Below are 24640 nucleotides of genomic sequence, written 5' to 3'. Positions count from 1 at the left end.
CCACTTACCTCTGTACTGTCCTTGTCTCCCCATTTTGAGTACATTCCTATGGTCTCCTGAAGCCTGGGAGCACCCTATTCCCACCTCCTTCAGCTCCTAGCAGCCCAAACTGCAGGCTCTATGTCACTCCATTCAAGACATGTTTATTGAGCAACTACTATATGCAAAGCTCTGTATAGGAAGTGAGGAAGAGGGTTACAAAGATTAAACAAATACAGACTTGCCTTCTTGGTGCTTATGTCTAGGATGGGGACAATGCAGGCTGTAAGTGTCAAGGGATGGTGAAATTGCTGGGGAGATTCAAAGGAAAAAGTGAACTTACTTCCTCATGAAATCTAGGAAGACTTCATGAAGGAAGTGGCACGGGTCTTAAAGGAGGAGTAGGATTTTAACTGTGAGTAACTGAAAGAGGCTGAGGACAGTAGTCTAGATGGAAAAAGAAGGCCTACCAAAAATATGGAAATAGCAAGTTTAGGAAATATTAGGGCACTGTGAGTTCTCCAATTTGACTGAAAAATAATCTGGCTGTAGGGAAGAAGTGAGAATAGAAAGGTAGATTTATGGTAGATTTATGGGACTGCGCCCCCTGCAAGCCAGGCTGAGAAGCCAGACTGAGAAGTCAACATAGCAAAATGTCTTGAGCAGGGAAACATAAGGCCACAGATGTGCCCATCTCCTATCTTTTTTTTTTTTTTTTAAGATAGAGTCTCTTTCTGAAACCCAGGCTGGAGTGTGCAGTGGCGCAGACATGGCTCACTGCAGTCTCGACCTCCCAGGCTCAAGTGATCCTCCTGCTTCGGCCTCCCGAGTAGCTGGGACCACAGGTGTGCCACCACACCCAGCTAATTTTTTATTTTTATTTTATTTTATTTTATCTTATTATTTTATTTTTGAGACGGAGTCTCGCTTTATCGCCCAGGCTGGAGTGCACTGGCACGATCTTGGCTCACTGCAAGCCCCACCTCCTGGGTTCACGCCATTCCCCGGCCTCAGCCTCCCGAGTAGCTGGGACTACAGGCGCCCACCACCACACGCGGCTAATTTTTTTTTTTTTTTTTTTTTAGTAGAGACGGGGTTTCGCCATGTTAGCCAGGACAGTCTCAATCTCCTGACCTCATGATCTGCCCGCCTATAGTGATGGGAGTCTCGCCATGTTGCCCAGGCTGGTCTCAAACTCCTGGGCTCAAGCAATCCTCCCACCTTGGCCTCCCAAAATGCTGGGATTCCAGGCCCAGCCTCCTGTCTTTTGGTGGGTCCTTTGATAAGTATTTACTGAACCCACAAGTTCCAGAGCAAGGGGTTGAATCAGAGACGAGGGATTTTCCTTGTCATTCAGGCCCAGAGGGAGAAATAAAAATCCATATAGGTCATCAAGGAGATAGTGCATGTGAATGTGTGACAGAGTGCACTCAGGAGAAAGGGGAGGTCACAGATGAAGTGATACAGCATCAAATGACTCTCATGTTTCTTAGGTGGGGCTCTGAGGATCTTTGGCCCAGGTACTCATGACTGACCATGTCCATTCTTCGGAGAGGAGGGGAAAAGGTGGAGTGGTAATTTGAGTGCCAGGAAATTCTCCCTATAGAGTAATGATATCATAAGAAGCTGTCCAGCCTGTCCTGAGAGGACATGGCATCTGGACTATCGGCTGGTCCTTCCACCCTGGAACGCCCAGTTCAAGGCCTACTTCTTTGGCCCTGGCCTGAAAACAAAAAGAACTGGGCTGGGTTTCCCAACTGAGAGCTCCACAGAGCACTCCCAGCAGTGCCTGGTGTCTGACTCTGGGGGGCACCCCTGCTCTATGTCTCTGGGTCAGTCGCCCCTAACCATCTCATCCTCAGCCAAGCCAACCCCTGCTGAGCCCAAGGGAACCTGACTCTTCCCTGTCCAGGCTGGACACCACTGAGCACAATGATACTGGTCCTGTGACCTCTTTCCCAGACATCTCCTTCCCTCCAAAGTCCTCTCCCTGCGTTCCTGCCCCACCTAAAAATAGCACCCCCCGACTCTTATGCCCATTGGTTGAAGGGAGGGACAGACTTCCAGACCTAGAACTCTGGGGGACTCCTTGGGGATCCAGAGATAGCTTGTGAGTGGCCCCTGGGGTTTCTGGGCGCCCGGGAGGTGGTCAGCCCTCACCCACATGCCTGGGGACCCTACTGCAGAATGGCAAGTGGAAGCTCAGTCTCCTGGATGGCCTCCCCTGGAGGGGTATCCCTGGAGGATGTAAATCAGCATCGCACGAGGCAGGGGTTCCTAGAGGGTGAGGTCCTGGGTGGGAAAGAGGACCCAAGCCTCTCCATTTCCGGCCCCCAGACTGCCTTGACAGCCAGCAACCACAAGGGGGCAGTGTTGGCCACAGAGCTGCAAAGAGTTGACTGCAGTCCCCGGTGACAGGCTTCTCCCCGCCCAACCGCCACCTGCCTTCTCCCTCCTGGAGACCGTGGTCCTATGGTGGTCCTGTGGACTCTGACCTTTTTACACCATCACAGTCGGCTGGGAGGACCAGGCGAGAGGGCCCTGGCTCGTTAAATAAAATCCCTCCTACTCCTAAGAGCTTATGAGGAAGAGATGGGCCGACTGGTGTCCCAGAAGGAGGCCTGAACCGGCGGTCCAGCGTGCATCCACATTTAGTGGGCAGTACGCTTTGGGCTGCTCTCCCAGCTTTTCGGAGCCCCGGCTTTTCGGAGCCCCAGCTTCCAATGAGGGATTGGGCCACGATTTTAGGCATTCTCTAAGGTCCTTTTCCGCCCGAGAATTTGAGCGTCTGAGTCAGCAGCTGCTGTCCTTGAGTGGCTTCTCTCTCCAGGCCCCGGACAGCTTCAGAGGCTCAGTCTGGGTGGGTGGAGGGATACAGGAAACAGCAGTGGGCATTTCTGATCTCTACAAACCAGGCCATTATTCTGGAAACCACAGTCATGAAGAGGTGCAGTCCTAGGACTGGGAAAAGACTGAGAAAGGAATGACCAGGGTCAGCTGGATCTCAGGAAGACCCCTCTCAGGGGCTCCATCTGACTGATTTGTGTGATTGTGTGAATGGCAGGATGGCTGGAAGCTGGCTGAAGAATGCCCTGTCCCAGGCCGTGGAGCTATGTTGAGCTTCCTTGAAGTAGAGGCTGCAGGAAGCCTAGACGTCCCTCCCTTCCGGCCCTCCTTACTCCCAAATCCCCACAACAGTCCCCTTCTCTCCTCCCCGCATTGCTGACACCTGCTTCTAGCTCCCTGCCTGAACCTGAACCTCCACCCACAGAGAGTGGAACCCACAGCCACAGTTCTAGGAGGGGATCCCTGCCTGGCCTTCCTATCCCTAGCCTGTCCTGCCCAGCCCTGTCCCTCCAGACCAGCCTCTGCTCACACCCACATAGCCCTGCTCCTGTGCCTCTGAGGCACTCTCTCCCAACTCCTGTAATTTCACACCAGGCCCCTGGACAGTGTGTGTCCAGCACCTCCGCTTCCCTGATCAGACATCTGATCCAGCACCTGGGGCCTGACCCCCACAAGCACAGGGTGTGTCCTGGTTCTTCTATCTCATCTCCTTTCTTCCTTGATGGCCCCATTTTCTCACTTTTCCTGTCTCCCTTATTTGGTTTCTCTTCTTTGATCTGTCGTCTGCTCTCTGCATCCTGTTCTCAGAACTCTCTGAGTCCTGGAGCCTCTTGGCCGTGGGCCTCTGCTCCTTGACCTCTCTGTTTCTTTGCCTCAGTGTACACCTTTCCCCCTTCGCTTTCCATCTCTCTCTCCATCTTCACTTCCTCCTCTGCAGTGCATACACTGAGTATCGGATCCATCTCTCCCTGGACTGAGGGTATAAATAGCAGAGGGAGGCTGGGCTAGAAGCCAATTGTGCTACCAGCCTCTTCCTTGCAGTCCTGGGCTTAGCATTCAGGACCAGTAGTGGGAAGGGTCCTGGGCAGGGCTTCAGGGGTAGGGAGTTGGAGGGTTGCAGTTGAAGGCCACTGGATGAGTGACAGACCCAGGCAGAGAGAGGGGTGCTACCGCAGCTGGAGGGAGTCCTGAGCTTCACGTGCAGGCCAGGCTCCCCACCTAATGTGCGTATGAAGTCGCTACTTCTGCTGCTGGAAAAGGAGCTCTGGGTCAAATGACCCTCCCAAGGGCCGCTGGAGGGCCCTGTCTGCTCCTCTGGTACGTAGATGCATGGGCCCAGGTGGCTGCCAACAGACAGCAGCTGGGGACTGGAGTAGAAGTGGTGCCCTCAAGAAACAGGCCGCACTCTCGCTGCAGCCAGCTCCCTGGCCTAATTAGAGACCGGAACGGCATTGATCGTCCCTGAGCTCATTATGTCACAGCTGGGGAACAGCTGGCCAGTTTTTTCCAGGCCATTAGCTGCGCCATGAAGTGGAGAGTGTTGGGGAGAGGGGGGTGGCGTGCAAGCAGGATCAATACCCCGTCTGTCTAGGGGAAAGCAGCCTAGTGGCTGCCTTCTCTGGCACTCTGGCTGTGCTTCTCTCCAGCGCTGCTACGCTAGCTGAGCTCCTTGGAGTTCACACACAAAAGCTCTACTCCTTCAATCCTGGAGCCCAGAGAGATGGACTCATGGCTTCTGGGCTGGCCCTGACCTGGCTGGAAGGGACCCTCGGAGCCTTCTCTCAGAGAATTAAGAAGGGCAAGAAAGAGGCTCAAATTACCTAGCTGGTCTCAGAGGGGACCTCAAAAGTGCAGCTCCTCTCCACCCCCATGGCAAGATGACACCTTAAGGCAGCTGTTTCTGTTGGCCCTGGGCCCACCTCTCTGTGCCCCTGGGCTCTGCCGGGTTTGGTTTCCTGTGGGGTGGAGAGATGGCAGGGGATCCTCTGGCCCTTGGGGAGTGTGGGATACTGGAAGGAGGTAGGGAAGAGACAATAGTTCTGTCTTTCTCCCGCTCCCTGTCCCGGGCCTGGGCAAGCAGCAGCTTAGCTGGGCAGCACCTGAGCAGGGGCAAGGCTCTCCACACGGTCTGACCTGCCGTGTGGAGGGAGAAGGAGGACAGCAGAGAAGACTGCTGTCAGAGGGGAGTTCAGTAGTACCTAATGAGCTGGATTCTTACTTACAGGGTTATAAAGTGTGAAGGCTAGAAAAGACCTCCAAAATAGCTCGAGCCTCACTCCTCATTTTACAGAGGGAGAAAGCAAGCTCTAATAAGCCTTAAGCTCTGCTATGCCTGGCTGATTCTGCTATCGAGGGCTTCATTTTAGTTCTCTCTGTGTTTCTCCCATTTATTCCACATTGAGGGTTTTTGGAGGGGGTGGTGGTTGTTTTGTGCGTGTGTGTGTGTGTGTGTGTGTGTGTGTGTGTTTTGTTGTGGTTGTTGTTGTTGTTGTTGTTGTTTTGAGACGGTCTCGTTCTGTTGCCCAGGCTGGAGTGCAGTGGCACAATCATGGCTCACTGCAACCTCCACCTCCCAGATTTAAGCGATTCTCATGCCTCAGCCTCCCAAGTAGCTGGTACCATGCCTGGCTAATTTTTATATTTTTAGTAGAGATAGGGTTTTGCCATGTTGGCCAAGCTGGTCTCGAACTCCTGACCTCAAGGAATCCACCTGCCTTGGCCTCCCCAAGTGCTGGGATTACAGGTGTGAGCCACCACTCCCAGCCCCACATTGAGTTCTAATGTAGCTCCAAGGTGTCCTGGGCACATGTCCTCAGGCCGCTGGTGGAGGCTTCACTCTCCAGGAGAGGTGTGGGGACTGCCGGGCTCCCTTCCATCCTACCTCCACTCTCCAGCCCTGCACCCTCACCCTCCAGCACCACCATGGGAACAGCACCAATCACTGGAAGTCCTATTGGGTCCAGCTAGCTGCTGGGTTCCTGGGCAGTTTCCTACCCACTGGACAGAGGCCAGGCTATGCATAGCACCGGCCGCTCCCCAGACTTCCCACCATGGCCTCCATTCCCAGAATCAGTGGTGAATAGAACACAGAGGTCAGAAGGCCTGAATTCCAGATGTGAGCTCTTTCTAGGCCCAGGCCCAGGTCCAGCCCCTGCCCTGAAGAGCTGGTAGACTCATACATCCAGAGGTGTACAAAGGGCAGAAGGGCCCTTACAGCAGCACAGCGTATTCCTCATGTTACAGATGAGGAAGCTGTGTCCTAGGGAGCAGAAGGATTTGCTCAGGGACATCCAGCTGGTTAGAGGCAGGTTTCAGATGAGGTTTCCCAAATTCCAGATAGTCAGCGTTGGTTCCATTCCACCACAGGGCTTCGGCTCCAAGTTCTGAAAGCCACTGATTAAGGTCTAGTGGATCACCCTTGACTCATTTAACATGCTCAGCAAACCCAACAAACACTCCTCACAAGCCCAGGGTGCACTCTCTTCCTCAGGACTCTTGGAACAGTGAAGACAGCTGGGGCCATCAGAATGCGCATCGGGCACACCACTGCCACCAGAAGTAGGCTCCTCTCGGGTGAGCCTGTCAGTTTAGGAGCAGCTGCTACCCAAAGCATGGAGCAGAGACCCCTGGGCTCTGCTGTGCCTGATGTTGATCCATCTGTCTGTCTGGATCCAAGAGGTGCTTAGAGCAGAAGGAGCCTAATGGTAACTTGGCATTGCTGGAACTTCCTCAGGCCTGATTCACAGGGGTAGAGTGAGTTGGAAGAAACCAAGTACTGCTCTTGCTGCTGGCATTTTGAGGAAAGGGAACGTGTGCCTGGGCTAGAAGATGACATGGCAACCGGACTGGAGATAGAGAGGGCACTCAAGTGAGTTCCCAGGGCCAGCTTTCCGAGGCCATGGGCTGGGTAGCCTCTTCCTTGTTTTCTTCTCTCTTGGCTCCAGAACAGGGGCTAAGATGCCAAACCCCTGTGGCTCCAGCTAGAATGTGGGGGCAGAGGGGAAGGAGTTGTTGGACAGTCTGGAGAGGCAATCCTAGCATAGGGTGCTTCACGGGCCAGAAATCTGGGAGTGGAGATCAGTGTGGCTGACATAGGAGAGGAGAGCCCTGAGGAGCCAAGGACACAGGAAACAGAACCCAGAGGCAGAGGAAAAGGGCCCTGGAAAGGGAGGTGAGGGAGGTGCCGTGACAAACCATATCCTGTGTCAAAATGTCCATGGGATGGAGGGGCATCGTGAAAGTCCTGACTTTATGTCCCGTTGGTGCCATTTATTAGCTCTGAGGATGGGCAAGTCCTGATCCATGAGCAATGCAGAGAGCAATGTTTGCCTCACAGGCTGCTGTCGCTCTAAGGCTCGTGTGAGAGAATGTGGATGAAAGTCTTCGGAAAGTGCACAAGCAGGTCTGATTCTCATCACTGCTCTCTATCAGCTCATCTGCAGTGTGTGGCATTAGGACCCTGATTCCGAAGTTGCTAGAGAATGGTATGTATCATAATGCTGTGTACGCAAGTATTTTTGTCAGGAGTGACAGAAGCAAAGGGGCTTTCCTTCTAGAAGGGACTACCCAGGCCACACGAGCAGATGTTTATGAATCTATAATAGCATGCATCCATCCCCACAGGGTCTCTGCTCACAGAGAAGACGCCTGAAACCGAGGCTTCCAGGATGTGTGTGTGCACACACATGAGCACACATGGACACAGATGCATGCATTGTGGCCATCCCTGGTGGCTTCGCCGTCAACTGTGCCTCTTCCTAGGTGCCGGCCTCTTCCATTCTCAGTCTATAAGCAAGTTCTTACATCTCTCTGAAATGGCAGCTGAATGAAGAACTGAAAGAGATGTGGGGACTGAAGGGACAGTTTTACATTCATTAGTTGTAGTTTTCTGGGAGAAGGGAGATACTACTAATGATTTATATTTGCAATAGTGTTTTTAATAAGCACCATCACATACATTATTTAATAATTTAAGCCACACAGCACTCTTGTGAGATTATTACTATCGTCAGGCTCAGAAAGGTGAAACGCTTTCTTGCAGATCATCCAGCTAATAAGTAACAAAATTAGGACCGAATCCATGTCATTTATTCCAAATCCTGTTCACCTTCTATGATGCTTTGCTGCTTCTGACCTCTTGTTAACTTCCAACTCTTATAAGTGTCTCTCCTGCAGGAGTCCAAAGGCACAGGTGTTCTGTATGCTGTGGATGTTTCTTTCATTTGTTATTTTGAAATTATTTCAAATCAACAGAAAAGTTGCAAGAAAGATACAAAGAACCCCTGTTCCTGCATCCCTTCCACCCAGTTCCTCAACTTTTTTTTTTTATTTTGCTTTTGTTTTTTGAGATGGGGTCTCACTCTGTCACCCAGGCTGGAGTGCAGTGGTGCGATCTGGGCTCACTACAACCGCCACCTCCCAGGATGAAGCCATCCTCCCACCTCAGCCTCCCAAGTAGCTGGGACTACAGACATGCACCACCACACCCAGCTAATCTTTGTATTTTTCTTGTAGAGGTGGGTTTTCACCATGTTGCCCAGCCTGGCCTCAAACTCCTGGACTCAAGTGATCCACCTGCCTCAGCCTCTCAAAGTGCTGGGATTACAGGCGTGAGCCACAGTGCCCGACCCTCAGTTTGTTTTGTATGTGTTCTCTCTCTCTTTCTCTCATATGTATACATCACATATACGTAATTTCTGATCCATTGGCGAGTACACTATAGACATGATGCCCTATTACCCCTTAACACTTCAGTGTGTATTTACCAAAAACAAGGACGTTCTCCTACATAACCAAAATACAACATCTCAGTCAGTAAAGTAACATTGACACAGAACTGCTGGCTAATCCAGAGACCCCATTCAAATTTCACTAATCCTTTTTTTTTTCTTTTGGAGACAGGGTCTTACTCTGTTGCCCATGCTGAAATGCAGTGACATGATCATGGCTCACTACAGCCTTGACCTCCCAGGCTCAAACGATCCTCCCACCTCAATCCCCTGAGTAGCTGTCACTTCAGGTGCACACCACCATGACTGGCTAGTTTTTTTGTATTTTTTGTAGAGATGAAGTCTCGCTGTTACCTAGGCTAGTCTCAAACTCCCGGCCTCAAGTGATCCACCCACCTCAGCCTCCCAAAGTACTGAGATTACAGGTATAAGCCACTGTGCTGGCCTCACTGATAATTCTAGTAACATTGTTTTTAGGTCTAGGCATTAATCCAGGATCATGTGTTCTATTTAGTTGTCATGTCTTTTTAGTCTTCTTCAGTCTGGAACATTTCCTATCTTTCCTTGTCTTGAACTTAATATTTTTGAAGAATCCAGCCTGGAAACTTTGTAGAATATCCCTCAATTGGGGTTGGGCTGATGTTTCCTTATGAGTAGTTTCTGGTTATGCATTTTGTCAGGAATACTGCAGAAGTGAGGCCATGTTCTCAGTTCATCTCAACAAGAGTTACACAATGTCAAGTTGTCCTATCCTGTTACTGGGGATGTTAACTTTATTATTTTTGGGGTGGGGGGGAATGGGGTTTCACTCTGTTGCTCAGGCTGGAGTGCAGTGGCATGATCTTGGCTCACTGCAACCTCCGCCTCCCAGGTTCGAGCAATTCTCCTGCCTCAGGCTCCCAAGTAGCTAGGACTACAGGCCCATACCACCACACCTGGCTAATTTTTGTATTTTTAGTAGAGACAGGGTTTCGCTATGTTGGCCAGGCTAGTCTTGAACTCCTGACCTCAGGTGATCTGCCCGCCTTAGCCTCCCAAAGTGCTGGGATTACAGACATGAGCCACCATGCCTGGCCTGGAGATGTTAACTTTTATCGCTTGGCTAAGATAATGTCAGCTAAGTTTTTCCACTGTAAAGTCAACTAATAGTATTGTGTACTCATCAATCAAGTACTTGTGGGGAGACACTAAGATTGTGTAAAAATCATGTTCCTCATCAGACTTTCACCCCCTAGTTATAACATCCACTGATGACTCTTGCCTACATCATTTATTATTTATTTATTTATTTATTTATTTTTTTGAGATAGAGTTTCGCTCTTGTTGCACAGGCTGGAGTGCAATGGCACGATCTCAGCTCACTGCAAACTCCGCCTCCCAGGTTCAAATGATTCTCCTGCCTCAGCCTCCCGACTAACTGGGATTACAGGCACCCGCCACAACACTCAGCTAATTTTTGTATTTTTAGTAGAGATGGAGTTTCACCATGTTGGCCAGGCTGGTCTTGAACTCCTGACCTCGAGATCCACTCACATCAGCCTCCCAAAGTGCTGGGATTACAGGCATGAGCCACCATGCCCAGCCTCTCCTACACTGTTTATTACTGTGATGGTTACTAGATGGCAATTTTCTAAATGCAGCTTTTTTTCTATATACATCAATTGGCATTCTAACATAAGGTAAAGCCTGCTCTCTCTCCCCATTTATTTATTTATTTATTCATTCATTCCTATTTTACCGTATTTTAGTTGTAACCCGATATCAAAATTATTTATTTTGATGCCTAAATTGTCTCAGATTTGGCCTGTGCATGCCCCTTCAAGTTGGATTCCCCATCCTTTCCATGTGTTTCTGTCATTATCTGAGCACTTCCTCACTTTCTAGCACAAGATATTCCCAGCTCATCTAGTAATTTCTAGGCTGATCAGTCCTGGTGGAGGTTTTTTTTTGTTTGTTTGTTTTGTTTGTTTGTTTTCTAAGTAGAAAATAGCATTTAGAAGCCAAAATCTGGGTGCTTGGTGTGCTCGCTGCCGTTGGGGCATCATTGCTTCTAGTATCGTTCAGAGAGGGCACATAAATGAGTTCCCTCATTTGTATACATGGGACTAGGTTAGATATGTACACACACACATTTACATATATTAAAATCATGAGTTCAAATTAATTACCCCAATTCTGATTGAATACCACAGGGTTTATTCTCTTTCCACATACATAACTCCTGTCACTAACTATGAGAAATATAGCTCCCATCATCCTTAACCTACTATGTGTGTGCTCAGTTCCTCTGTTTGTAATCAATCTCCTAACCACACAGGCCACCCTCTCTGCCTCAAACTCACCACACATGCTGGTTGAACCAGCCAAATCTTGGCTCCAGCCACACTGACCACACCATCTGTGCTGGCTGAATCCTTAATCCAGATCAAAGGAAAGGGGAGAGAAAGGACACATTATATAATTTTTAAGGATTTAATTTATTGCAGAGTATTTATTCACACACTGAATTGAACTCCAACTGTCATTTAGAGACGCTCGTCTTATAACCCAAATATGTTTGTTTCAATAATAGAGCATATAGTGTTTCTAATAGAGTAAGAGAGACAGTATTTATGAAGTTAATTCTAGATTAATCTGAGAAACACATTATGTGCATGTGTATGTGTGTATATATATATATGTATATATATACATTATAAATTTTTTAAGCTCTCTCAAAATCTGTTTTCCTAACTTATATTCACGCTAATTTAGATGATGAAGTAGAGGCCCTTTGCCCAATGGATAAGTTTAGGAACAGAAACTTCAAATAATATGTGTCACAGACTGATTGATTGGTTTTTTATGAAACCGTTTCCTTTTACCTCCTAGGTGCATAGCCTGACTACATTTCCTAGCCTCCCTTGTAGTCAGGTGTGGTCATATGACAGAGTTCTGGCCAGTGGAATATGGCAGAAATGATTAATGCCACTTCTAGAGCTGGTCCATAAAACCTTCCACACAATCCTGCATGCTTCCTGTCTCTACCCCGTCTGCTGACTGGAAACAGGGAATACAGAATCCTCCAATAGAGGATTCCAAAACCTGTAACAGTGATCAGAGCCACAAGGTGGATCGTTCTGGGTCTCGGAATCATCCGGTGGGAGGCCATCAAGTGAACACCTGCATTAAACTGTTATGCGAGGGAGACGTTAACTTCCATTGAGGTAAGTCAGAGACCTGGGGGTTATTCATCACATAAGTCAGCTCACCCTAACCAATGCAAAAAGTAAATGAATTGTCCAAGTTTACCCTTTAGAAGTTACAAAGCATAATGTTGAATGTGACCTTCTGATTCTTACATGAGATCTCTTCCCATCCGATCAGACCAGGTAGCATGAACTTAGTACTTTGGGAGGCTGTTACCCTATCTTTCCACAAGCAATATTTTCCTCTTTAGCCCAAGTATAACATTAGCCCTATCTTTTCTCCCTTTCCCTTTCCTAAGGGACCTGTGACCTAGGTTTGCTTTTTCATGGATTTATCTTTATCAGATGAAAATACCTGGTTTGTCTAACATCTGACCTCCAGCAGAAGACAGCTTACCAAGCCTATAGAGATGAGTCTCACCAGCAAACGAAGACAGCCCTTCAATTTCCTACAAGTGGACTCTGCAATTGACGTGCAGGTGGTGGCAGGGCCCATAGTCTGGGGATGGGCCAAAATGCCTAGGAGGCAAGTAGATTCTTCCTCTATACTCAGTAGACTAGCAACAGTTACCACTCCCGGGAAAAGACACCCCCACATCTTGTCTTTTCACAGGCTAATAACTACTTGTTCAGCAATTTAGCACGTCCCAGGCTGCTGGAAACTAACATCTTCCTGAAGAGGATGTCCTTCACCCTTCTCCCTCCAGGCACGACAAGTTTTCAAGACCAAGAGAGTAGAGAAGTCAGGTAAAGTGCGAGGGAAGATGGGAAACAATGCAATAATATGGGGGAAAGGAAAACCTGAAGATGTGGCCACAAGAGGTGTCGGGCGCTTTCCAAGCCTGGGACTCCAAGAGAACACTGCAGTCCAGTTTCAGAGCTAGAGTCACAAAGCTGACTCTAGAGCTTTTTCTAGAGCTGGGCAAAGCTCCGAGGTCATGATGCCTAACTCTCTCATTTCATAAAGAGGGAATGAAGGGCCTGAGTGATTAAGGACTATGTCCAAAGTCACAGAGGCAGTCACGGTAGGACTAAAGTCCCGGACCAGTGCTCTCCAATGCTCTTTGTATTTTCTACTCTTGCTTGAAGGCCTGATAGGAAGCACTCAGTTCAAGGAGTTGGAGTAGCAGATGTAATTAGGAAGCTAAGTGCTGGAGTATGTGGTCCCTGAGGATTCATCTCTCCATGCCCTTGGCCAACCCCTGTCCTCCCTGAAAGCCTTCCCCTGCTTCTCTGAGAAGCCAGCTCCCGTCACCCACTAGGGACAGACACAAACATTCTGTCTGGGGTGAGTCTCTCAATTCCAAAGTGAAGCAGGAGTGGGAACATCTCCACTTAGAACTCCAGAGCATCTGGGAAGGGAAAGTGTCTCCAGGCTGGAAACACATGGAAATTTCCCTGAACCCAGAAGCATGCTTGGAATAGTTTCAACTGCCGCATCACCACCCCAGCCCAGCCGTGTTAGCGAGGCAAGCCGCAATCAGGGAGATAATTAGTTTGCTGTTATTTATTCCCTGCGCTAATCAGCAGCCCACTGCTTGCACAGTGGAGAGGGCTCCTGCCCCCAGAGCCATGGAGGTTCTCAGGGATCTTTAGTTACCCGCAGAAGACAAAGGGCTGGGAAGAGGGACAGAAAGGGAGGAGGAGACCTAGACCCCAAGATGCAGTGCTGTAGGCTTCTCTACCGTGCATAGAGCCCTTGGGAGAGGCGGTCCTGGGATCACCAGGGGCCCAGGGCAGCACTGCACTCCTCTTCATTTTGTTCTTGGGGTTGGGCTGTGGTCAATAAAGGGCGGCTGGCGTTCACCTCCCTGTTCTGCCTCACTGCAGTCAAATTGCCTTTTTCCAAGGCGACTTTCAAAAAAAGATGACATTTATCAAAGCCTGCTGAGTGTGACCTTGGTGGGAGGGAGAAAGGGCGGGTGTGCTGTCTGTGGAAGCAGGCAAAGAAAATGAGGAAAACCTGCAGGGAAGGAAATGCTTTCAACCCTCAAAGGTGTTAGAACAATCATGGGGAGATGACTCCAAGTTTGGGACAGCCACTCCATGTGCAACTGCACTCCCGCCTGCCCCCTTCCTAATCTTCACCAGCAACTTCTCACCAGCAGTCCCTGGTTTTCCAGCCCAAACAGTAGACTGATGGTGCTCCATTCAAATAACAATGTCTAGGAAGGCCTCGGGCCAATTATTTGATAACTTCATGAAATATAGACCTGGTGTAGTAGAGCATGCCTACATAGTCCCAGACTCAGGAGATTGAAGCGGGACGATCACTTGAGCCTAGGAGTTTGAGTGAGTCTGGTCTGGGCAACATAGTGAGACCCTGTATCTAAAAACCAAACAAAACAAAAAATTAGATCAGTAGCACTTCTAGAATGCCCATATAGGACAGTCTAAGAAGCTGCCATGTGGTTGAAAGGCAGAAGGCAGGAGGAGGTAGGGGGAGCTGGAAGACTCCTCCTGAAGCTGTATTTGTGTATCAAGTACATTTTTTAAAAAACATAGATTATGCATCTGTTTGGAGTGGCATGGCTAAAGCCCACCTCATGCCCCCAGCTACCCCTTGGCCCCACTGCTGCATGTGGTACTAGAGTTGGAAGTGGTCATCTGGTCAACTTCTGGCCCTATGCAGGACTCCTCCACAAGCTTGCTCCCTTCTCTGTCTTCCTAAGCTCTTTACACATGGGCTCTTATATTACCTGTCACCATTCATTGTGGCCATCTGTGTCTTGGTTTCCTTCACTATATCACGGCACTTAAGGACAGAAACAGTTTCCTATGTGTCCATCTTTGGGGGTTTTGTTTGTTTGAAACAGAGTCTTGCTTTGTTGCCCAGGCTGGAGTGCAGTGGCGCAATCTCAGCTTACTGTAACCTCCACCTCCTGGGTTCAAGCGATTCTTGTACCTCAGTCTCCCAGTTAGCTGGTACTACAGGTGTGGGCCACCACACCCGGCTATTTTTTTTTTTTTTTTTTTTTTTTAGTAGAGGCAGGGTTTTGCCATGTTGGCCAGGCTGGTCTCCAACTCCTGGACTCAAGTGATCCACCTGCCTTGGCCTCCCAAAGTGCTGGGATTACAGGCGTGAGCCACCATGCCTGGCCTATTTGTTCATTCATTCTATCACACACTCCCATTCACATATAGCAATAACTCCTGTGAGTGTATAGTAGAAAAGTGGAACATAAAGATAAACAGAAAGGCTGGGCGCAGTGGCTCACGCCTGTAATCCCAGCGCTTTGGGAAGCTGAGGCAGGTGGATTACCTGAGGCCAGGAGTTCCAGACCAGCCTGGCCAACATGGGGAAACCCCATCTCTACTAAAAATACAAAAATTAGCTGGGCATGGTGGCATGTGCCTGTAATCCCAGCTACTCAGGAGGCTGAGGCATGAGAATCGCCTGAACCCAGGAGGTGGAGGTTGCAGTGAGCTGAGATTGCGCCACTGCACTCCAGCCTCGGCAACAGAGTGAGACTGTCTCAAACAAACAAACAAAACCCCAAAGATAGACACATAGGAAACTGCACTCCAGACTGGGTGATAGAGTGAGACTCTGTCTCAAAAATAACAATAGTAATAATAAATAAATGAATGGACATCTGTGCAAAGTCGTCATCCAGCTCCTACTTGGGTGCTTCCTGTGATGGGAGTTCACTACCTCAAGATGGGAAAGATTCATTATTGGACAATTGAAATGTCAGAAGATGTTTCTGTACATGCAAAGGAAATCTGTGTCTCTGACCCTTCCACCCAGTAGTATACTTCTGCCCTTTAAAGGCCCAGAAGAGCACAGATTCTCAACCTAGGTGTCCATGGATAGGCTTTATAAAGTCCATGCCCCCAAGAAATGTGCATAAAATTGTGTGTGCCTTGCCCATGTGCTTCGGGTGGGGAATCCATGGGTTTCACAAAGAGACGTGTATTACCAAATTTCAGAACCATGGTTTGTTTATTCTCTCTTTTCATGAAAATCTATACTAGATAAACAGGCCTCAAAATGCTTTCTTTTTAATATATTTCCTGCTTACTTTTCTGAAGAAAGCAGATCCCCAAGGTGTTATGTATCTTGAACAAAACTAACTGCTACTCTTACCACAGATGATGGAATGGGGATTAGTCCACATACTGAAATTAACCTTGTATGGGTGGGGGACACAGGAGGCCAAAGGAAAGGCCTTGATAAGAATTCTGCCCCCAAAAGAGTGCTCAATATTAGGTGGTGGCAATTTGACTCATTCAAAGCCTGTTTTTTGAGGAAGTAAACTCCCTGATGGAAATGAAAGAAGGTGGATGACTTTTGGTTATGGGCCTCTTTCTGCCATTTCAAAACACGAGTTCAGTTCTCCAAGTCTTGGAAGCACTGGGACCACAGTGACTACAGCTAATAAGGCAACTCACCAGCTACCATGTGGAGTCCTGCAGTAAACCTTTCTTCCTAAAGCCTGTTAGGTATCATTCTTCTTTGCAGTTCCAAAGATTCTGACTAATGCACAATGCTTCAACTTTCAGAAATGGTTATGATAAATTCCTCCCAAAGTAAAAATCTCCCATTGCTCGGTCATCTCTCATATATGAGCTATCAAAGTGTTCACATCTGTTCTCATTTAATCCTCACCAAAATTCTGTAATAGTGGTGCTTAAAGTTGGCGGTATAAAGAATCACCTTAGGCTGGGCATGGTGGCTCACGCCTGTAATCCAGCACTTTGGGAGGCTGAGGAGGGTGGATCACGAGGTGAGGAGATCGAGACTATCCTGGCTAACATGGTGAAACCCCGTCTCTACTAAAAATACAAAAAATTAGCTGGGGTGGTGGCGGGTGCCTGCGGTCCCAGCTACTTGGGAGGCTGAGGCAGAATAGTGGAACCCGGGAGGCAGAGCTTGCAGTGAGCCAAGATCCCGCCACACCACTGCACTCCAGCCTGGGCGACAGAGCAAGACTCCGTCTAAAAAAAAAAAAAAAAAAAAAAGAGTCACCTTAAATACAGATTCTCAGGCACCATCTCCAGAGTTCTAGGAAAGTCTGGGGTGGGCCTTGAAATCCTCTTTTGAAGTTCCTTGGAGATTCTGATGTACACAGTTTGAGGCCTAAACATGGAGAACATGGCCCTGAGGGGTGGTGTTTCCCAAGTGTCCTGATGCTCAAAACACTTCCCAGGCTCCTCCCATGAAGATTCTGATTCGGTTGCTCAGGAGCTCTAGAATTTGTACTTTTAATAGTGCAGGTATTATAACTTCCATTTTATATGTGAGAAAACTGAGCCCCACTGTAACTCGTCCACAGTTACACAGCCAGATGATGACAGGAGTCACATAGTTTGGATATTTGTCCCCACCCAAATCTCATGTTGAATTGTAATCCTCAATGCTAGAGGTTGGATCACTGGGGCAGATCCTGCATGGCTTGGTGCTATCTTTGTGATAATGACTTCTCATGAGATCTGGTCATTTAAAAGTGTGTGGCACCTCCCCCAGCCCCTTGCCCCTGCTTTCACCATGGGAAGTGCCTGCTCCATGAGTAAACGCTCCCTGAGGCCTTCCCGGAAGCAGATGCTGCTGTGCTTCCTGTACAGCCTGCAGAATGGTGAGCCAATTGGACATTTTCTTTACAAATTATCCAGTCTCCGATATTTCTTTATAGCAAGGGAAGAATGGCCTAATACACGGGGTAAGACTGGAATCCAGCTTTCTTGGCACTTAGTCCAATTCTCTTTCTATTGGCCACGAAGTACATACCCTACATAGAGTCCTTAACATAATGAGCAACTGACAGATATTTGCTAAATTGTGTAGAATCCACATATCTTACCTTCTAAGTCCTAGAGAGAAGAAACTATTTCTAAAGCGTATTTGCATCCTGCTTCACCCAGCCTCACCACAGGCATGTAACACAGTGCTCTGCCCTAGGGGCTCAACAGATGTGTGTGAGTGAATGCATATGAATGATTATTAGACTGTGTACCACTCCATCAACTACCTCTGGCTGTGCTCCAGACTGTAAATGAGATGCCCAGAGCTGAACTTTAGACTCCGGCTATGGTCTGACTCAAACTAAGTACAGCCGGAGCACCTTTGCCTGTGATTTTTAAGGAACTGCTGCCTGCTCTGGGGAGTCAGACCTTGCCCTTCCTGCTGGTCTGGCGTGTGCCCTCGCAGGAACTGACTGCTCTGTTACTGATCCTGGGTCCTCTTCACTCCTTCAGCCCCTACTGTGGCTTCCCAATGACTTCCTCATCCTAGATTCCCATTCATCAACACTTAGTACTTAGCTCTCCTGTAACCTTGGCCTGGAGCCCCAGAAGGCAGGCTCTGGACAGCACAGACTACAGATAGAACTTTTCCTCAGTTCTATCTGCCTTGCACTATCCCTGAAAATGTTATGATGCATTGAAAAGAACCTTGACCAAGGATGCAGGAGACAGCCCACTCCTACCTCTTCACATTTATAGAGAGCCTACTTGGTGTTCTAGTATCTCCTAGATTCCTGAACTCAGTAAATCCTCACAACAACCCCATTAGGCAAGTATTCTTATTATCCCCATTTTATAGGTTAAGTAACTAGCTCAAGTCACACAGTGGGTGGCAGAGCCAGGATAGGATCCCAAGGAGCCTAGCTCCAGAGCCTACTCCCTTAACCACAAAGCTACACTCTTTCTCTAGGCTTCTAACTCAGTTCTGCCATGAACCAGCTTGTGAACTTGACTGCTATGGCCTCTTCCAGCACAGGCGGGTAGTCTAAAGTTCTCTCATTATAGGTAAGGGCTAGATGAGCTAGTACTGTGATTACTCTGAGAATTTGCTAAGAATACTCTTAAGTGGTTGAAGAGTAGAAACTTCAAAGACAAATGAGTAGCTATGGGCTCAGAAAGCATGATTAGAGGAGACAGATCCGTAAACTCAAATAGTAATCAAATGGCTGCAGATCACGGAAAGAAACTTTTAACTATAAGCTAAACATTGAATCTAACTATAATCCTTCCCTAAATCATAAAAGTGCTGACTTCCTAAACTAGAATATTAACTTTCCAAATATAAGACAAACTAGTCAACAATTTATATATGGGCCTGGCGCAGTGGCTTATGCCTGTAATTCCAGCACTTTGGGAGGCTGAGGCGGGTGGATCATTTGAGCCCAGGAGTTTGAGACCAGCCTGGCCAACATGGCAAAACCTTGTCTCTACAAAAAAATTAAAAAATTAGCTGGGCATGGTGACACATACCTGTAGTCCCAATTCTTTGGGAGGTGGGGGTGGGAAGATCACCTGAGCCCAGGAGGTCAAAGCTGCAGTGAGCTGTGATCACAACACTGCACTCCAACCTGGGTGACAGAGTGAGACTTTGTCTCAAAAAAAAAAAAAAAAAATTCATATATGAAAATTAGCTTAGAAGTCTCAACATTAGCTAGGATTTAATTTTAGATATAAAGCCTTTAGAAATCAAAAGAGAGGATTGCATGTACAGGAAAAGAAAATATTTTCACACTTATGACAAAACTTCTTAATGAAAAAAATATAAGATTCCTTTTGGAGGACTTCCTGGTTATCCAGGCCCCCATGGCAGGAGCTCCAAGGTAGTCTTATTTGTAACAAGGCCTTGGAACTATAGTCTTCCATCTTTGGGATATTGGGTCAGCTGTAGGTGGACTGTGGTGGTGAACTCCATCCCTAAGGGCTAAAATAACATTTTGAACCATGAATTTATTGTTCAGCCATACTTCAAAGACACATCTATCTGATGATGACCCAGTGCAGAGTTGTTTTGAGATATCCATATGTAAGTGTTAAAAGTCAAGAAAATGTTCATGACTTAGCCATCTAGAATGATCACCACTTTGGTGGCAGGTTAGTCCTGACTGTAGTGCATGAGCTATAGATTAAGCAGATGTCTTCAGATTTGTTTGACAAACCTGAAGAGCCCGGGACATGGATAGGTGTCCATGGCATGCCTCCACCTACATCAGTGAGCCCTCAGCTGCCCCTAATTGGTATGTACATTCTTGTGGTTTCTGCAGATCAAGTGGAGCTTCCAGGAAGTGTGCAGAGTTGAGGTGGAAAGAGAAAAGACTGGAAAAAGGGACTCCGATGCCGGTTGTCTAAACAGAGGGAGTATTTGCCTCCTGGACATTGAGTAAATCAATGTGTGAGCATTTTAAAAGGTTAAAAGGTCAGTGAAATGATTGATGGTTTATGGAGGTGGGGGCAGGAGGATGGCAAAAGGAGTTCTCAAGAGTGAGCACTTTCAGGAACAAACCGAACATGGAACCGTGAGTGAACTGCTAGATACAGAAAGGGCTCAATCCAGCCAGGCGCGGTGGCTCACGCCTGTAATCCCAACACTTTGGGAGGTCCAGGAGGTCAAGAGATCAAGACAACACTGGCCAGCATGGTGAAACTCCATCTGTACTAAAAATACAAAAAATTAGATGGGCGTGGTGGCCTGTGCCTGTAGTCCCAGCTACTCGGGAGGCTGAGGCAGGGGAATCACTTGAACCCAGGAGGCGGAGGTTGCAGTGAGCCGAGATCGCACCACTGCACTCCAGCCTGGAGACAGAGCAAAACTTTGTCTAAAAAAAAAAAAAAAAGGGCTCAACCTAGTGGTGAGGGCTAAAATATTAGCCATTTAAGCAATTCATAACAAAAGACTCATCTTTATTGCTACCCACCCCCAAATAGCCTAATTTTTAGAGGCCCCCCCTTTTTGGAGACATCCAAAAAAATACAAAGTTGCTAATATGAGTAATACTATTGGGATCTCCACAAAATACAAGAATACTTAAAATATTTAAATTTTTAAATTTTTTTTGGAGACAGAGTCTTGCTCTGTTGCCCAGGCTGGAGTGTAGTGGCATGATTTCGGCTCACTGAAACCTCTGCCTCCCAGGTTCAAGCAATTCTCATGCCTCAGCCTCCTGGGTAGCTGGGATTACAGGTGTGTCATCACACCAGGCTAATTTTTGTATTTTTAGTGGAGACGGGGTTTCGTCATGTTGGCCAGGCTGGTTTCGAACTCCTGGCCTAAAGATCTGCCCTCCTTGGCCTCCCAAAGTGCTGGGATTACAGGCGTGAGCCACTGTACCCGGCCAGAAGATAGCTTCTTAATAGGGTGTCTTCCCTCGGCATTCTCCGCTCTAAGTCTTTTTTCTTTTCTTTTCTTTTTTTTTTTTTTTTTTTTTTTTTTTTTGATACAGGGTCTGGCTCTGTTGTCCAGGCTGGAGTGCAGTGGCATGATCTTGGCTCACTGCAACCTCTGCCTCCTGGGCTCAAGCCATCTTCCCACTTCAGCCTCCCAAGTAGCTGGGACTACAGAAGCATGCCACCATGCCTGGTTAATTTTTGTATTTTAAGTAGAGACAGGGTTTCTCCATGTTGCCCAGGCTGGTCTTGAACTCCTGAGCTTAAATGATCCACCTGCCTTGACCTGCTAAAGTGCTGGGATCACAGGCATAAGCCACTGCTACCAGCCTTCTCCACTCTGATTCTGATGGCTAGTATTAGCTATTAAGAAAGCAAAAAATACTTGTAGTGTGGAGAAAAGGAATTCATCCAGTCTCATAAACTGGGAGACACATCCAGCTGCTTTTGCTCAAGTGCTGAGCTAACCAAACAACCTCTCAAATTGCATTTAGGAATATTGAGTTGGTCCATTCCAGCAAATGGAAATACATACTCACTAAATAACCTGTTGCTATTTATCTTGCCCAGATCTTCTTTTGTTGTGAATTAATAGTTGTTCCGGTCTAAAGAGCACCTGTGGGAAAGTTATTATGAGTCAATTATCTAAACCAGTGCCATCATGAAACTTTCTGTGACAATGCGTTGTTCAACAGGGTAGCTGGCCACATATGGCCATAAACATTTGAAATGTGGCTAAGGAAACTGAAGAAGTGATTTATATTTAATTTTAATTAATTTAAGTAGCCACAAATGCTGCTGGCTACCAATTAGGCAGCACAACTCTAGATCCTTGCTACTTAAAATGTGGTCTCAAAGAAGCATTGGCATCATCTTGTTAGTTTGCTGGAAAAGCAGAATCTCAGGCCACACCCCAGTCCTGGTGATTCAGAATCTCCATGATTATAAGATACCCCGCTGATTTGTCTGCACATTAACATTTTAAAAGGATATGGTTAGTTTATATTTTTATTTATTTATTTATTCTGAGACAGAGTCTCTGTCACCCAGGCTGGAGCACAGTGGCATGATCTCAGCTCACGGCAACTTCCACCTCCCAGGTTCAAGTGATTCTCATGCCTCAGCTACCCGAGTAGCTGGGATTACAGGCATGTACCACCACGCCCAGCTAATTTTTGTATTTTTAGTAGAGATGGAGTTTTGCCATGTTGGCCAGGCTGGTCTCGAACTCCTGCTTCATGTGATTTGCCTGCCTCAGCCTCCCAAAGGGCTGGAATTACAGGGGTGAGCCACCGCACCCAGCCAAAATGATTACTTTTAAAAGGATATGGATTAGCTGAAAAAAGAGACTGATTAAAGAACATATCGTGTGGTGACCCTTCCAAATTGTAGACACCCACTCTTGAAACTGGTATCCATCATAAGGGGCCTTTTTCTTTCTATCTGTCTCTCTCCCACGCCTTGGACACAGCAGAAAGAGGAAAGGGAGGCCGGGCATGGTGGCTTACACCTGTAATTCCAGCACTTTGGGAGGCCGAGGCAGGCAGATTACCTGAGGTCAGGAGTTCGAGACCAGCCTGGCCAACATGGTGAAACCCTGTCATTACTAAAAATATAAAAATTAGCTGGGCATGGTAGCAGGCATCCGTAATCCCAGCTACTTGGGAGGCTGAGGCAGGAGAACCACTTGAACCCAGGAGGCGGAGGTTGCAGTGAGCCAAGATCATGCCACGGCACTGCAGCCTGGGTGACAACAGCGAAACTCTGTCTAAAAAATAAAAATAAAGAGGAAAGGGAGAGGAGAGAGCCTGGAACAACACTGGGGTGAAAAGAAAATATGCAACATGCAGATGAGGGGTGGGGTGAGAGGAGCATATGTTTCTCAGGAATATTTGTACAAAATAAAATGATGACATTTCTTTAATAATTATTGAAATGGGTGATGGGTATATGGGAGTTCATTGTACTATTCACTTTTGTGTATGTTTGAAAATTCTCAAAATTAAAAAATAGATGTAACTTCAGAGATGATGTGTGTGATAGCCAGCCTCCAAGATGGTCCCAATGATCCTCTCTTCCTGGTATTTGTGCCCTTGTGTAGTTCTTCCATATTGAATCAGGAATTGCATATGTGACCAAAGTGGAGGTGATATCCATCACTTCAAAGAGCCAGATCACTGTGACTTCTGTCTTGCTGTCTCTTGCATCTCTTGCTCTGAGGGAAGTCAGCTACCGTGTTGTGAGGAAACTCAAGCTGTCTTGTGGAGAGACCTTTATGGATAAGAATAGAGGTTTCCTGCCAACAGCCAGCCACATGAATTTAAGTGAGCCTCTATGGCCCCAGTGAAGCCTTCTAATGACTGTAGCTCCATCTAACGCATAACTGCATGAGAAACTGCCAAGCCAGAACTGTCCACCAGACTGCTCTTGAATCTGACCAACAGACACTGTGAAAGGCAATAAATGTATATTGCTGTAGGAAGTCACTAAGTTTTGGGGTAATGTGATTATGCAGCAATAGATAACTGATGCAATGTGATTTCAAGATTCTTCACACCTTGTCCTCCAAAAAGATTACCCTCCTCATCTTTTCAATGATGCCTGAAATGAACAGAACAGAACATCTTTCTCTTTTTTCTTTCTTTCTTTCTTTCTTTCTTTCTTTCTTTCTTTCTTTCTTTCTTTCTTTTTTTTTTTTTTTTTTGAGACAGGATCTTGCTCTGTCACCCAGGCTGGAATGCAGTGACACAAACATGGCTCACTGCAGCCTTGACCTCCAGGGCTCAAGTGATCCTCCGACCTCAGCCTCTCAAGTAGTGGGCACCACAGGTGCGTGCCACCATGCCTTTTTTTTTTTTAAGAGACAGAGTCTCACCATGTTGCCCAGGCTGCTCTCGAACTCCTGGGTTCAAGCAATCCTCCTGCCGCAGCCTCCCAAAGTGCTGGGATTACAGGTGTGAGCCACTGCACCTTGCAGAAAGACCTTTTCACACTATGCATAAGATTAACACGCTAATACTCCTTGAAGAGATAATATATTCACTAAAATTCATGGTAAAACATGTGACAGATATAAATTCTTTTTAAAACTCTTAGCAAGCTAATCTACTGAGACATTAATTTCAGTCTTGATCTTGCTGTTATAAGAGACTGGAACAAATAAAAAGGTAATTTCTTATGGTCCACCATCTCAAGAACAGCTAACATCTTGAATGATAAGGTCTAGGCTCTTCCTGCATCTCTCTCTTTCCTCACCCCCAAACCCAAACAACATACACTAGTAACAGCTTCTTGTTGTTTCAGGGGCCACCCTAAAGAAGAAACCCCTCCACCTCCACCACTGGCCTTCATCTTGAGGATTAGGTAACAGAGAAACTATGTTGCAATTGCTCCATAAGGGGAGTGGGGAGCTGGCACTGGTTTAGGAAGAAGGCAAGTGGCCAGACCTAAGGGCTGAATGACTTCCTCCGGGCTGGGAAGGGTTTCGGAGTTTCCAGGAATGGAAATTGTCCCTGGCTTGTATGCAGTCCGTGTGTGTGTGTGTGTGTGTGTGTGTGTGTGTGTGTGTGTGTGTAGCAGGTGGAGTGGGGAGAGGTGCATGAGGTGTCTGTAAAGGGGTGTTCTGGGGCCTGGGCTCACCAAACACCCCCTTTCCCCTCACTCCTGCGCAGCTGGCTTGCAGGCTAAGGAGCTGTGCCCTTCAGTGGTACCTCAAGGGTCATGAACTAGTAGCATCAAGACGGGGGTGGGGTGGGGGGAACCCCTCCCCCA

At 47.4% G+C, this 24640-nt stretch overlaps 1 long non-coding RNA gene across 1 annotated transcript, besides 3 other annotated features; it reads left to right on the top strand.

The window, feature by feature from the left end:
• Positions 3979 to 4147: a silencer, noted in NCBI's record as "fragment chr1:110073289-110073457 (GRCh37/hg19 assembly coordinates)". NCBI's record gives its function as "represses an EF-1alpha promoter that drives an FKBP-Casp9 reporter gene in an ReSE screen in K562 erythroleukemia cells {active_cell/tissue: K562}" and the evidence as "EXISTENCE:reporter gene assay evidence [ECO:0000049][PMID:32094911]".
• Positions 7188 to 7237: an enhancer, noted in NCBI's record as "active region_1443". NCBI's record gives its function as "activates an Ori minimal core promoter by ATAC-STARR-seq in GM12878 lymphoblastoid cells {active_cell/tissue: GM12878}" and the evidence as "EXISTENCE:reporter gene assay evidence [ECO:0000049][PMID:35858748]".
• Positions 7288 to 7687: an enhancer, noted in NCBI's record as "active region_1442". NCBI's record gives its function as "activates an Ori minimal core promoter by ATAC-STARR-seq in GM12878 lymphoblastoid cells {active_cell/tissue: GM12878}" and the evidence as "EXISTENCE:reporter gene assay evidence [ECO:0000049][PMID:35858748]".
• LOC105378893 (uncharacterized) lies at positions 12363 to 24212 on the top strand. The gene is made up of 3 exons (XR_001738179.2): positions 12363 to 12490; positions 19750 to 19901; positions 24173 to 24212. It is a non-coding gene; the product is annotated as an uncharacterized LOC105378893 (long non-coding RNA).
• Positions 24213 to 24640: the final 428 nt, after the last annotated feature.

Source organism: Homo sapiens, chromosome 1 (genome assembly GCF_000001405.40).
Source record: "Homo sapiens chromosome 1, GRCh38.p14 Primary Assembly".
Lineage (NCBI taxonomy): Eukaryota > Metazoa > Chordata > Mammalia > Primates > Hominidae > Homo > Homo sapiens.
The sequence above is the reverse complement of the archived record's forward strand: the minus strand, read 5'-3'. Positions and strand labels throughout refer to the sequence as shown.